The sequence below is a fragment of the Homo sapiens genome, chromosome 1, assembly GCF_000001405.40.
Source record: "Homo sapiens chromosome 1, GRCh38.p14 Primary Assembly".
Taxonomy (NCBI): domain Eukaryota; kingdom Metazoa; phylum Chordata; class Mammalia; order Primates; family Hominidae; genus Homo; species Homo sapiens.
The window spans coordinates 63502227-63516009 of NC_000001.11; the positions used below are offsets into that span (position 1 = coordinate 63502227).

At 35.9% G+C, this 13783-nt stretch overlaps 1 protein-coding gene and 1 long non-coding RNA gene across 16 annotated transcripts in view; one reads left to right on the forward strand and one right to left on the reverse strand.

Annotated features, from left to right (window-relative positions):
- The window catches only part of ITGB3BP (integrin subunit beta 3 binding protein), an 88418-nt gene that overhangs the window by 61457 nt on the left and 13178 nt on the right, over positions 1-13783 (reverse strand). For 10 of the 15 annotated variants that reach the window (NR_045147.2, XR_007058557.1, NM_001347145.2 and 7 more), the window contains exon 2: positions 6302-6344. The exons of 4 other annotated variants lie outside the window; for them this stretch is intronic. Coding sequence is in view for 8 of the 11 variants with exons in the window: in NM_001347145.2 (NP_001334074.1) it covers positions 6302-6344 (43 nt within the window). In the remaining 3 variants the exon portion in view is untranslated. Of the gene's footprint in view, positions 1-6301; positions 6345-7838; positions 7956-13783 lie in introns of all 15 variants that reach the window. One more of the 15 variants, NM_001206739.2, reaches the window with a different exon arrangement.
- The window catches only part of LOC102724319 (uncharacterized), a 29842-nt gene that overhangs the window by 14274 nt on the left and 1785 nt on the right, over positions 1-13783 (forward strand). Inside the window, exon 2 of the long non-coding RNA XR_426701.4 lies at positions 5094-5381. This is a non-coding gene — a long non-coding RNA (uncharacterized LOC102724319). The remainder of the gene's footprint in view (positions 1-5093; positions 5382-13783) is intronic.

A 13783-nucleotide genomic window follows, 5' to 3' on the forward strand; every position in this document is an offset into this window, starting at 1 on the left:
CAGTAGATGATTATAAATTGGAACTTTCTTCACCTCCTTACAACACCCAACAATTTGTGAGGTTTAGCAAATTGTGGTACTGGCAGTATACATCCCGTATATTATAGGAAGAACACAGGGTATGGTCCATATCTCTGCTTCCCTCATTAGAAGAGGTATATTAGTCTGTTTTCATGCTGCTGATAAAGACATACCTGAGACTGGGAGGAAAAAGAGGTTTAATTGCACTTACAGTTCCACAAGGCTGGGAAGGCCTCAGAATCATGGCGGGAGGCAAAAGGCACTTCTTTTTTTTTTTTTTTAATACTTTAAGTTTTAGGGTACATGTGCACAACGTGCAGGTTAGTTACATATGTATACATGTGCCGTGTTGATGTGCTGCAACCATTAACTCGTCATTTAACATTAGGTATATCTCCTAATGCTATCCCTCTCCCCTCCCCCCACCCCACAACAGGCCCTGGTGTGTGATGTTCCCCTTACTGTGTCCATGTGTTCTCGTTGTTCAATTCCCACCTACGAGTGAGAACACGCGGTGTTTGGTTTTTTGTCCTTGCGATATTTGCTGAGAATGATGGTTTCCAGCTTCATCCATGTCCCTACAAAGGACATGAACTCATCATTTTTTATGGCTGCATAGTATTCCATGGTGCATATGTGACACATTTTCTTAATCCAGTCTATCGTTGTTGGACATTTGGCTTGGTTCCAAGTCTTTGCTATTGTGAATAGTGCTGCAATAAACATACGTGTGCATGTGTCTTTATAGCAGCATGATTTATAATCCTTTGGGGTATATACCCAGTAATGGGATTGCTGGGTCAAATGGTATTTCTAGTTCTAGATCCCTGAGGAATCGCCACACTGACTTCCACAATGGTTGAACTAGTTTACAGTCCCACCAACACTGTAAAAGTGTTCCTATTTCTCCACATCCTCTCCAGCACCTGTTGTTTCCTGACTTTTTAATGATTGCCATTCTAACTGGTGTGAGATGATATCTCATTGTGGTTTTGATTTGCATTTCTCTGATGGCCAGTGATGATGAGCATTTTTTCATGTGTCTTTTGGCTGCATAAATGTCTTCTTTTGAGAAGTGTCTGTTCATATCCTTTGCCCACTTTTTGATGGGGTTGTTTTTTTCTTGTAAATTTGTTTGAGTTCATTGTAGATTCTGGATATTAGCCCTTTGTCAGATGAGTAGATTGCAAAAATTTTCTCCCATTCTGTAGGTTGCCTGTTCACTCTGATGGTAGTTTCTTCTGCTGTGCAGAAGCTCTTTAGTTTAATTAGATCCCATTTGTCAATTTTGTCTTTTGTTGCCCATTGCTTTTGGTGTTTTAGACATGAAGTCCTTGCCCATGCCTATGTCCTGAATGGTATTGCCTAGGTTTTCTTCTAGGGTTTTTATGGTTTTAGGTCTAACATTTAAGTCTTTAATCCATCTTGAATTAATTTTTTTATAAGGTGTAAGGAAGGGATCCAGTTTCAGCTTTCTACGTATGGCTAGCCAGTTTTCCCAGCACCATTTATTAAATAGGGAATCGTTTCCCCATTTCTCGTTTTTGTCAGGTTTGTCAAAGATCAGATGGTTGTAGATATGCAGCATTATTTCTGAGGGCTCTGTTCTGTTCAATTGGTCTATACCTCTCTTTTGGTACCAGTACCATGCTGTTTTGGTTACTGTAGCCTTGTAGTATAGTTTGAAGTCAGGTAGCGTGATGCCTCTGGCTTTGTTCTTTTGGCTTAGGATTGACTTGGCGATGCAGGCTCTTTTTTGGTTCCATATGAACTTTAAAGTAGTTTTTTCCAATTCTGTGAAGAAAGTCATTGGTAGCTTGATGGGGATGGCATTGAATCTATAAATTACCTTGGGCAGTATGGCCATTTTCACAATATTGATTCTTCCTACCCATGAGCATGGAATGTTCTTCCATTTCTTTGTATCCTCTTTTATTTCATTGAGCAGTGGTTTGTAGTTCTCCTTAAAGAGGTCCTTCACATCCCTTGTAAGTTGGATTCCTAGGTATTTTATTCTCTTTGAAGCAATTGTGAATGGGAGTTCACTCATGATTTGGCTCTGTTTGTCTGTTATTGGTGTATAAGAATGCTTGTGATTTTTGTACATTGATTTTGTATCCTGAGACTTTGCTGAAGTTGCCTATCAGCTTAAGGAGATTTTGGGCTGAGACGATGGGGTTTTCTAGATATACAATCATGTCATCTGCAAACAGGGACAGTTTGACTTCCTTTTTTCCTAACTGAATACCCTTTATTTCCTTCTCCTGCCTGATTGCCCTGGCCAGAACTTCCAACACTATGTTGAATAGGAGTGGTGAGAGAGGGCATCCTTGCCTTGTGCCAGTTTTCAAAGGGAATGTTCACAGTTTTTGCCCATTCAGTGTGATATTGGCTGTGGGTTTGTCATAGATAGCTCTTATTATTTTGAGATACGTCCCATCGATACCTAATTTATTGAGAGTTTTTAGCATGAAGGTTGTTGAATTTTGTCAAAGGCCTTTTCCACATCTATTGAGATAATCATGTGGTTTTTGTCGTTGGTTCTGTTTATATGCTGGATTACATTTATTGATTTGCATATGTTGAACCAGCCTTGCATCCCAGGGATGAGGCCCACTTGATCATGGTGGATAAGCTTTTTGATGTGCTGCTGGATTCGGTTTGCCAGTATTTTATTGAGGATTTTTGCATCGATGTTCATCAGGGATATTGGTCTAAAATTCTCTTTTTTTGCTGTGTCTCTGCCAGGCTTTGGTATCAGGATGATGCTGGGCTCATAAAATGCATCAGGGAGGATTCCCTCTTTTTCTATTGATTGGAATAGTTTCAGAAGGAATGGCACCAGCTCCTCCTTGTACCTCTGGTAGAATTCGGCTGTGAATCCATCTGGTCCTGGACTTTTTTTGGTTGGTAAGCTAATAATTATTGCCTCAATTTCACAGCCTGTTATTGGTCTATTCGGAGGTTCAAATTCTTCCTGGTTTAGTCTTGGGAGGGTGTATGTGTCGAGGAATTTATCCATTTCTTCTAGATTTTCTAGTTTATTTGCGTAGAGGTGTTTATAGTATTCTCTGATGGTAGTTTGTATTTCTGTGGGATCGGTGGTGATATCCCCTTTATCATTTTTTATTGCATCTATTTGATTCTTCTCTCTTTTCTTCTTTATTAGTCTTGCTAGCAGTCCATCAATTTTGTTGATCTTCTCAAAAAACCAGCTACTGGATTCATTGATTTTTTGAAGGGTTTTTTGTGTCTCTATTTCCTTCAGTTCTGCTCTGATCTTAGGTATTTCTTGCCTTCTGCTAGCTTTTGAATGTGTTTGCTCTTGCTTCTCTAGTTCTTTTAATTGTGATGTTAGGGGGTGTCAATTTTAGATCTTTCCTGCTTTCTCTTGTGGGCATTTAGTGCTATAAATTTCCCTCTACACACTGCTTTGAATGTGTCCCAGAGATTCTGGTATGTTGTATCTTTGTTCTCGTTGGTTTCAAAGAACATCTTTATTTCTGCCTTCATTTCATTATATACCCAGTAGTCATTCAGGAGCAGGTTGTTCAGTTTCCATGTAGTTGAGCGGTTTTGAGTGAGTTTCTTAATCCTGAGTTCTAGTTTGATTGCACTGTGGTCTGACAGACAGTTTGTTATAATTTCTGTTCTTTTACATTTGCTGAGGAGTGCTTTACTTCCAACTATGTGGTCAATTTTGGAATAAGTGTGGTGTGGTGCTGAGAAGAATGTATATTCTGTTGATTTGGGGTGGAGAGTTCTGTAGATGTCTATTAGGTCCGCCTGGTGCAGAACTGAGTTCAATTCCTGGATATCCTTGTTAACTTTCTGTCTCGTTGATCTGTCTAATGTTGACAGTGGGTTGTTAAAGTCTCCCATTTTTATTGTGTGGGAGTCTAAGTCTCTTTCTAGGTCTCTAAGGACTTGCTTTATGAATGTGGGTGCTCCTGTATTGGGTGCATATATATTTAGGATAGTTAGCTCTTCTTGTTGAATTGATCCCTTTACCATTATGTAATGACCTTCTTTGTCTCTTTTGATCTTTGTTGGTTTAAAGTCTGTTTTATCAGAGACTAGGATTGCAACCCCTGCCCAAAAGGCACTTCTTAATTGGCAGTGGCAAGAGAAAATAAGCAAGATGCAAAAGTGGAAACCCCTGATAAAACCATCAGGTCTAGTGAGCCTTATTCACTACCACGAGGACAGTATGGGAGAAACCACCCCCATGATCCAAATTATCTCCCACTGGGTCCCTCCCACAACAGGTGGGAATTACGGGAGTACAATTTAAGATGAGATTTGGGTGAGGACACAGGAAACCATATCAAGAGCCATAAGCAAATGGCATTTGAACCTTGCCCAAACATCATGAAGCATTAATCTCCATGAAGATCTGTAGCTGCATTAGGAACACTGGGAGTTAGGAGTTCCAAATATCTCTGGATATGGCCATTGCTTAGGATGAACAGGCTCCACTTCAACCAACTGGCATATAAGGGCCATCTCTTTCCCTTAGAAACCAGAGCCTTCCCCCTTCAGCAACATATTGGTAAGGTAAAATGACCACAAAGTTACTACTAGTTCCAATATAGCTTCACAACAATTAAGTACTCCTAAAATTGTAGGTATATATTTTGAATGTCCAATTTCCTTTTGCATGGGCTAAGGCAGCCTCAATGGGGCCATAGGCCATGTGAGTATATAATTGGGAGCCAGGTTGCTTCAGGGCTAAGTTGTTACTAGAGTAGATGAAGTGTGTATGTAGCCATGGAGAGAAGCCCAGACTTAACACCAGAACAGAACAAAAGCTGTTAGCTCTAAGATGTAAATACAGAGCTTCAAACAAATGATAAGGCAAGAGGACAAAGCTGAAAATACCAGAAACTGGTCAGGAAATAGAAATGCCCAAGCTAGTATGCTAGGAACCTCCTTCGGGCAGATGTGGTCATGTAGTACCAAGCTAAATCAACTGGTACTACTAAATCAGTTGGTACAAGCTTAAATCAATTTAAGTTCTGTTGAAAGGTACAGAACTGGGCCAAACATAACAATGTATTTTTCTAATACAGGATGTCAGCTGTGGCACTGGCTACCTTGACACATCTTCATCTGAAGAAAAAATACAAAGAAGGCCTGCCATGATGACAATTTACTTCATGAAGAGAACGGGTTCTGAAACGGTCATTCTTTTCCATTTAAACAATGTTACCATCTCCCAAAGAACAGCTTTGGGGTAGGAAAGAACAGTATTTCATTTCAAGCTGGACTACTCATCTACCAAAAAACCATTCTGACCAAAGAAACAGATGCAGAATTACAGTCACAGCTGCATTCTGCACAGAACAAGTTGGATAATGGTATTCTAAATTGCTAATTATACTGTTAATGATTTTTTAAGTGTCATTGCAGTACTTTGCCACCTTTGTTTAAAAATTTTTAAAAAGCATGTAGCAAGTTTTCTAAATGGTAAATTTCTGTTTTGTTAAATACCAGCGTGTCTTCCAAAGAAAAATTCCATATAAAACCCATTTATTGAAATGGCATTCATATGTGAATTTGGAGGAGCCTACTTATTGACTAGCTATTTGTTTTAATTTACTTTCTCACCAATTTACCTGCATTTAAGATTACTGAGGTCATAAGTATCTCAGTATTAGTGTTTCTATCTAGATCCATAGTTGGTATGAAAAGATAATAAACTAACATATGTCATGATATGCTGGCACTGGGAATGTGCTACAACTCAATTTACAAAAAGTAATGGCAACAGTACAATTTAATTTTCATTGTGATAACTGTGGTGCAATTTATTACGGTGTTAGTATTATGCTGTTTAATCCATGCCAGCATAGCTGAGGAAGGTAATTACATTTTTGATATAAAAATGCTACTAATGTTTTCATTTCATTTTAGCAGATTATAGTATGCAGATTAAAAGTACTGCCATTGTCCCATATTGTTTCTTGTACATTTAAGTGGCAGACTATTTTTTTCCACAAATAGTGAATTAATTTCTACTAAATTATTTCATTAAGGTTTTTAAATAATTAATTTGCTTCTTAACTGAACACCTCAAGCTGGCCAGGAACTTCCACATATTAGATTCACAAAAACTAAAATATCTTATATGCAGAAAATGGTGTACCAATCACAATTATATCACACTGTGATATAATTAAAATTATCAAGATAATTTTAATATTTAACGAGATAAATCAGTAGTTAAAAACTGAAAACACAATCTTATTCAATGACAAACTTTTAAGCAAATACTTACATTTTCTTCTAACAGACCATCCAACTTCAGTGATCTTTTAACACTACAAACAAAAAATTTAAAGAAATTTTAGATTTGACACGCTTTATTTAAAGTAGCCCAATAATTAAGGGAAGATATATAAACAAAGATTCTTAGTTCTACCAACCAATTTTTATATTATGTATTAAAGCAGAATACCATATGAAGAAAGCAATTATTTATGATGACAGGTTTGATTCTAATTGCATATCTCTAAATGGGATCATAATTAAATATTTAAATGAGTTTCTTTAAAAAATATATGCAGTTATATATACAAGGACTACCGTACAATTTAAACATCAGTCCTATATTATAAAAACTCTTATAAAAGTTAGTATGTTTGTCTGCTTTAAAATACCACTATTACAATATCATATATAAGAGCAAAATAATTTATACACTTTCAGTGGAGATGTTGAAAGTACAGTACAGAAACAGTGCACTAGGTGTTAAAGGTATGAGCATGGTGAAAAAAAGTTTTGCACATTATTCTAGCTTTAAACATGATTCAGTGCAACCAGACTATGACTTAACTGAGGAACAGATGCTCTATGTCTTTATAAGTCCCCAATCCATAAGAAACTATTTTTTGTTTCCTTCACTAAACTGATTCAGGAATATGCCAGGCTCTCTGTGTGCAAAATCTGTTCTGCTAAACTGGATGCCCAGCTGTTGGTGACAATGCTTAGAAAGGGAAGCTGAATATTTATAATACTTTATTTCATACAGCTGTCTTCTAAAGAGCAGTCATCAACATTTTATTCAATGCAGACTAAATGTTCAAAGGAGAAAAAGGTCAATATAAATTAAAACTAGTTTTTTCAGTGACAAATGCAGTGTTAAAAGTATCTTCCTGATTCTTGAGAAATAGAAATAGAATTAAAATATTAAAGAATTAGAGCATAAAGCAAAAAGATTGTACTATGTTATATTACAGAAATCCCCCAAAAGTTTGTATTGATCTTAGAAAATGACTATTCGTAAGTAACTATTGATTTACAAAGGACAGGAATAAGAAAAAATAGAAGAGATGGTCAATCTAAGAAAATCATTGAACAGTAAATATACAGTACAGAAATTTAATCTATCTAAAAGATTATTTTGCTACTATATCCACATTACCCTATCACAACATTATTTCTTGAGATTAAACTGGTTTAAAGAATTATTTATGCTTTTAGAAATCTACTTAATATCAATTTAATCTGATTTCCCAATGAGGCAAGAAGAAAACAGAGGTACAAACAAACTAAAATGCAGATAATTTTTTAAAATTTATATTTAGCTTTGGAATACATATTGCCCTATTTGGGTATGTAAGATGTTCTGGTATTTATAACGCTTCAAAAATAGAAATTACACCAGGCGTGGTGGCTCGTGCCTGTAATCTCAGTACTTTGGAAGGCTGAGGTGGGTGGATCACCTGACGTCAGGAGTTCGAGACCAGCCTAACATGGTGAAACCCTGTCTGTACTAAAAATACAAAATATTAGCCTAGCGTGGTGGTGCGTGCCTGTAATCCCAACTACTCCCAAGGCTGAGGCAGGAGAATCGCTTGAACGCGGGAAGCAGATGTTGCAGTGAACGGAAATCGTGCCATTGCACTCTAGCCTGGGCAACGGGAGCAAAACTGTCTCAAAAAAAAAAGAAAAAGAAAATAGAAATTAAAAAACTAAAGTTAAACAGTACAGCATTTCTTATCCTTTGTTTCTAAATGCTATTAAGATGCAATAGTATCTTTTAGAAGGAGACATATTCCATCCTGATATTAACTGTTCAAAATATTGCTTTGTTATCAATGGTTAATTCTTAGACAAAGTAACTAAATGTTTGCTTTTAAAAAGTTTACAGATTAGGCCCCAGGTTGATCTAAGAAACCCAAGGAAATACGTAAAAAATAGTAAACAAGAAAGTAAGCTGAGTTAAAATAGGCTGTCATCTCCCACTTTATGTTTGGTGACAATCTAAAAATATTATTTACTGAGGGTAGTGTACTATTCAGATAATTCGGACATCTAATAACCAAAAGTTATAATACTTAAAAGAATCCTTAAAAGATATAATAGACAAGACTAGAAGAAATCTAAGAAATCACTTAGTTCAGCCAATAGGGAAAACAGTTTGTGCAACTTGCCTATTGTCACACATCTTGAGGGAGAGAAACTCAGATCTCAGGCCCTGTGCATAATAAATCTTTATGGAATTGAGGGGAAGGGAATTAAAGAAGGGAAGAGAAGAGCAAACCCACTACAGAGTTTATGACCATCTATTCTTAATATTATATTAGAACTGGGCCCAACCACTCTTTTACAACACAATGACGAGAATATACTAAATTGATTACTTTACTGTTAGTAGGAATAGAAGAGACGGATGAAACATATGAAGGAAGAATAGGTAAAATTTGATTAGATATATGGGATATTTTCCTAAAATATTTACTCTTTTGTTACCAGTATTAGCTAACAAAAGTGATATCTATCTGGTAGTTCTGTAAAGTTATAAGCAGCTCCTGTGGCTACTATCTTGGTTTAAAAAAGTGGGCACACAAAATTGGACAAAGGACTTGAATATACACTTCTCCAAAGTGATATACTAATGACCAATAAGCACATGAAAAGATGCTCAACATCTCTAATCATTAGGGAAATGCAAATCAGAACCACAATGAAATATTACTTCACAACCTATTAGGATGGCTACTATTAAAAAACCAAACAAAACAAAAAAAACAAACAGAAAATAAGTGTTGGTGAGGATGTAGAGAAACTAGAATCCCTGTGTACTGCTGGTGGGAATGTAAAATGGTTTAGCAGCTATGGAAAACAGTATGGCAGTTCCTCAAAGAATTAAAAATAGAATTACCATATGATTCCATGATTCCACTTCCAAAAATAATTGAAAGCTGGGACACAAACAGATATTTGTACACCAATGTTCACAGCAGCATTGCTCACAATAGCCAAAAGGTAGAAAAGCAACCCAAATATCCACTGACAGATGAACCGATAAACAAAATGTGATATATATATAAAACAAAATCTTATTCAGCTTTAAAAAAAAGAAATGAAATTTGACATGTGCTACAACATGGATGAACCTTGAAGACATTATGCTAAGTAAAATAAGCCAGTCACAAAAGGACAAATATTGTATTATTCCACTCATAGGAGAGTAGTCAAGTTCATGGAGACAAAAAATAGAATGGTGGTTGCCAGGGGCTAGAGGGAGTGAGGAATGGGAAATTACTGTTTAATGGGTACAGACTTTCAGTTTTACAAGATGAAAAAAAATTCTAGAAATGAATGGTGGTGATGGTTGCACAACAAGGTAAACATTCTTAATGTCACTGAATTGGACACCTAAAAAATGATTAAAATAGTAAATTTTGTTATATATAATTTAGCACAATTTAAAAATAGATAATTTTTTTAAAGGATATCTACTTATTGTGTCCTAATTACCTCCCTTTTACAGGTAACCTCTCTGTGGGTAACTTCTAACTTCCAACTTACCCAAATTTCCACCTATGCCCGTAATTTACAAGTTATATTATATTTCTAGGTATACTAGGTTTAGATTCACTGGGATCAAAATTCTGGTTGCTACCAGAAATACTGCTGTTGAGAATTTTAAAAAGATAGAAAGCATTTGACATGCAATTTTATAGAGAGAGTAACTATGTTTGTATAATTATATTATTCTCTAAGACTGACCTCTTTTCTATTTAGCTTAACATATGGTAGTATCCTGAATAGGATTCTCTGGTTCATCAGAACAGAAAAAGCAGATGAGTTTTATTACACAATGTTATTGACTAACATCAGTTACAGTATTAAAGAAATTATTCTAGGAAAAAAAAACCCTATCATTTGATTCCTAATAAAAAACCAGGAATGACACCTCAGAAAATCACAAAATTTTATGATTTGAGCTTCTCTTATAGAACTTTTAAAACATTAGTTTAAATACAATTTTGAATAACAGGACTGAGGGGAAGAATGGGGGGTAAAGAATAAACTTAGTAAAGCAGTTAAGACTCAGGGAGCCTTCATGCTATGCCAAATTCTTCCCTAAGGTTGGGCAAATCACATAATCTCACTAAGCTTCATAAAGTTGATAATAACACAGGCCTGTAAAGTAGTAAGAAATTTCTGAGTGGAAGATAAAAATATCACTGAGTATTTCAGTGCTTCCATTTACTCCACACTATAATAGAGATGATAATATTGCCAGCTACAACTTCACAGGAGTGTTTAGAGTATTACTGAGTATGCTTGTGAGATTCTTAGAAATCCTTTGATGAAAGGCAATGGCCAAATTCACATTCCATGTGACTCCTTAAATGTAAACCTTTTGTTTTCCTTGACCTGGACATTTTTCAAGACTGCAGGCCATTTTTATTTTTATTTTTGTAGACTATCCCTCAATTTGGGCCTATCTGATATTTCCCCATGATTAGGTTATGCATATTTGGCATAAATATCACAGAAGTGATGTTGCATCCTTCTGAGAGCATAACTTGAGGCACTTGATCTTGATGTATTGTAATATCAGTGATATAAATTTTGACCATTAAGATATTATCTTCCAGTTTTCTCCAATGTAGTAAATAAGAAATCTTATAAAGAGCCACTAATGATCATTCCTTTTATATTTATTAGTTAGCATTACATTCCAAGAAAAGCCTTTCAGTTCTCCTTCCTTTATTCATTTATATCACTACAGTGTCACAGATTTTTATGTTAGCCAATGGATTTTAAGCCATTCCTATCATTATTTATTTTGATGTTTAACTGTCCCAAATTTGGCAATGGGACCATTCTTCCCCTTCACCCTGGCTCCTGTTTAACCTATGTACCCATAACGCTTTGAGCACTTCCTACCTTTCCAGCATACACAAAAAGTTTTCTCTGCACCAGCTTTGGAATCAGCTTTTTCTCCAATGAGACCTAGCTCTTTTTAGTGGACAATGGTATTTAGACACCAAAATCTGGGCACTAAATGTGTTCACTGTTACTTACGTCATCGCTTACAGTCTCTCTCAGAGGACAGAGCTGGAACACACATCACACACACACACAAAAACATTTCTATCTACCTCTATCTTTAATATGTATATTTTTAAAAACTATGATTTCATATTGACATCTCCAATGCCAAGTCAAGAAATTTGAAATTCCTCCATCCAAAGGTGAGAAACTGGCTCCCATCATCCACAATACACTTACTCATTTGACCAAGCCTAGAACACATAAAAACTAGTTTCAGAAGTGCTAACACATACCACCATGGAAAGCAAATCTCTTACTCAAGTTCAGTATTTGCCTAATATTTTTAATGTAAAATTTACATATAGCAAGCAGCACAAATATTAAGTGTATAGATGCGAGTTTTAACAAACATGTACTATATCCCTGAAACTCACATCCATATCAAGATATGGAATATTTGAATCATATGAGGAGGGTACCTCAGGCTCCCTCCAAGTCCATAATCTATACCATACACAACTACTTTTCTAATTTTTTCCAGCATAGATTACTTTTGCCTATTCTAGAATTTCATATAAATAGAACTATACAGTATGTACTTGTGTCTATTTTCTCTGCTCAGCATAACTGTTAGATTCACCCAGGTTGTTGCACATCAGTAGATCATTTATTTTTAATTAATATTCTATCTTAATAAGCCATTTATTTGTTTTCCTGTTGATGGACACTTGGTTTTAGTTTTTAGCCATTATGAGTAAAGCTTCCAAGAACACCTTTTACAAGTTTTTTTGTTTTGTTTTGTTTTCCTTAGCTATACTGCATTCAGTTTTCTTGGATAAATAAATACCTAGAAGTAGAGGTGCTAGATCATTGGGTAGGTGTATATTTATTTAATTTCATAAGAAACTGCCAAAATGTCTAGCAACATGTTATGGTTCATTTGTGTATCTTCTTTTATTAACTATTGGTTCAAATCTTTGGGCCATTATTTTAATAACATTTTTGTCTTTCTACTGTTGATTAGTAAGAGTTCTTTCTTATCCTAAATATAAATCCTTTGTCTGATATATATCTGTTACATACTTTCTCCCAGTCAGTTGTTTGAAAATTTACTTTTTTTGGCTGGGCATGGTGGCTCACACCTCTAATCCCATCACTTTGGGAGGCCAAGGTGGGCAGACCACAAGGTCAAGAGACTGAGACCATCCTGGTCAACATGGTAAAAGCCCATCTCTCCTAAAAATACAAAAATTAGCTGGGTGTGGTGGTGCACACCTGTAGTCCCCGCTACTCGGGAGGCTGAGACAGGAGAATCGCTTGAACCCAGGAGACGGAGGTTGCAGTGAGCCAAGATCGTGCCACTGCACTCCAGCCTGGTGACAGAGCGAGACTCTGTCTCAAAAAAAAAAAAAAAAAAAAGAAAAACAGAAAATTTACTTTTTTTAACGGTATCTCTTGATGAGCAAAAGTTTAAAAGTTAGATGAAGCATAATTTATCATTTTTTCTTTTATAATTATTGCTTTCCGCGTCTTGCCTGAAATTTCACCTACTTCAGACTGTAAAAATATTCTCAAATATTTCCCTCCAGAAACTTTCCTTTTTACATTTAGGACTAAAATGTATCTCAAATTAATTTTTGTATGTAATATAAGGTGAAGGTCAAGGTGTTTTGTTTTTTTCCCCACTGGGTATGCCAGCACCACTTGGGAAGAAAATCTTCTGTTATCCCCACTGAGCTGCTTTGGTACCTTTGTGGGTCTATTTCTGGACTTTCTATTCTATTCTATTTACCTATTTCTCTATATGCCCAAACCACATTGAGTTCATTACCAACACTTTATGCCATGTCTAGTTAGTGTACATACTCCAACTTCATTCTTTTTTTTCAAAATTGTTTTGGCTACTGCAAGTCACTTGCCTTTCCATACAAATTTTGAAATCAGTTTTCAATTTCTAAAAAACGTTTGCTTGAAGAACTAAAAATAGAACTACCATTCAACGCCAGGCACGATGGTTCACGCCTGTAATCCCAGGACTTTGGGAGGCTGAGGTGGGCAGATTACAAGGTCAGGAGTTCAAGACCAGCCTGATCAATATGGTGAAACCCCATCTCTACTAAAAATACAAAAATTAGCCAGGCATGGTGGTGCATGCTTGTAGTCCCAGCTACTCAGGAGGCTGAGACAGGAGAATCACTTGAACTCGGGAGGCGGAGGTTGCAGTGAGCCAAGATTGCACCACTGCACTCCAGTCTGGACAACAGAGCAAGACTCCAACTTAAAAAAAAAAAAAAAAAAAAAAAAAAAAGAACTACCCAGCAACCACCACACTACTGGGTATCTATCAAAGGAAAATAAATCATTATATCAAAAAGACAAATGTACTTGTACATTTATTGTAGCACTATTCACAACAGCAAAGTCATGGAATCATCTTGTGTCCATCAATGGATGACTGGATAAA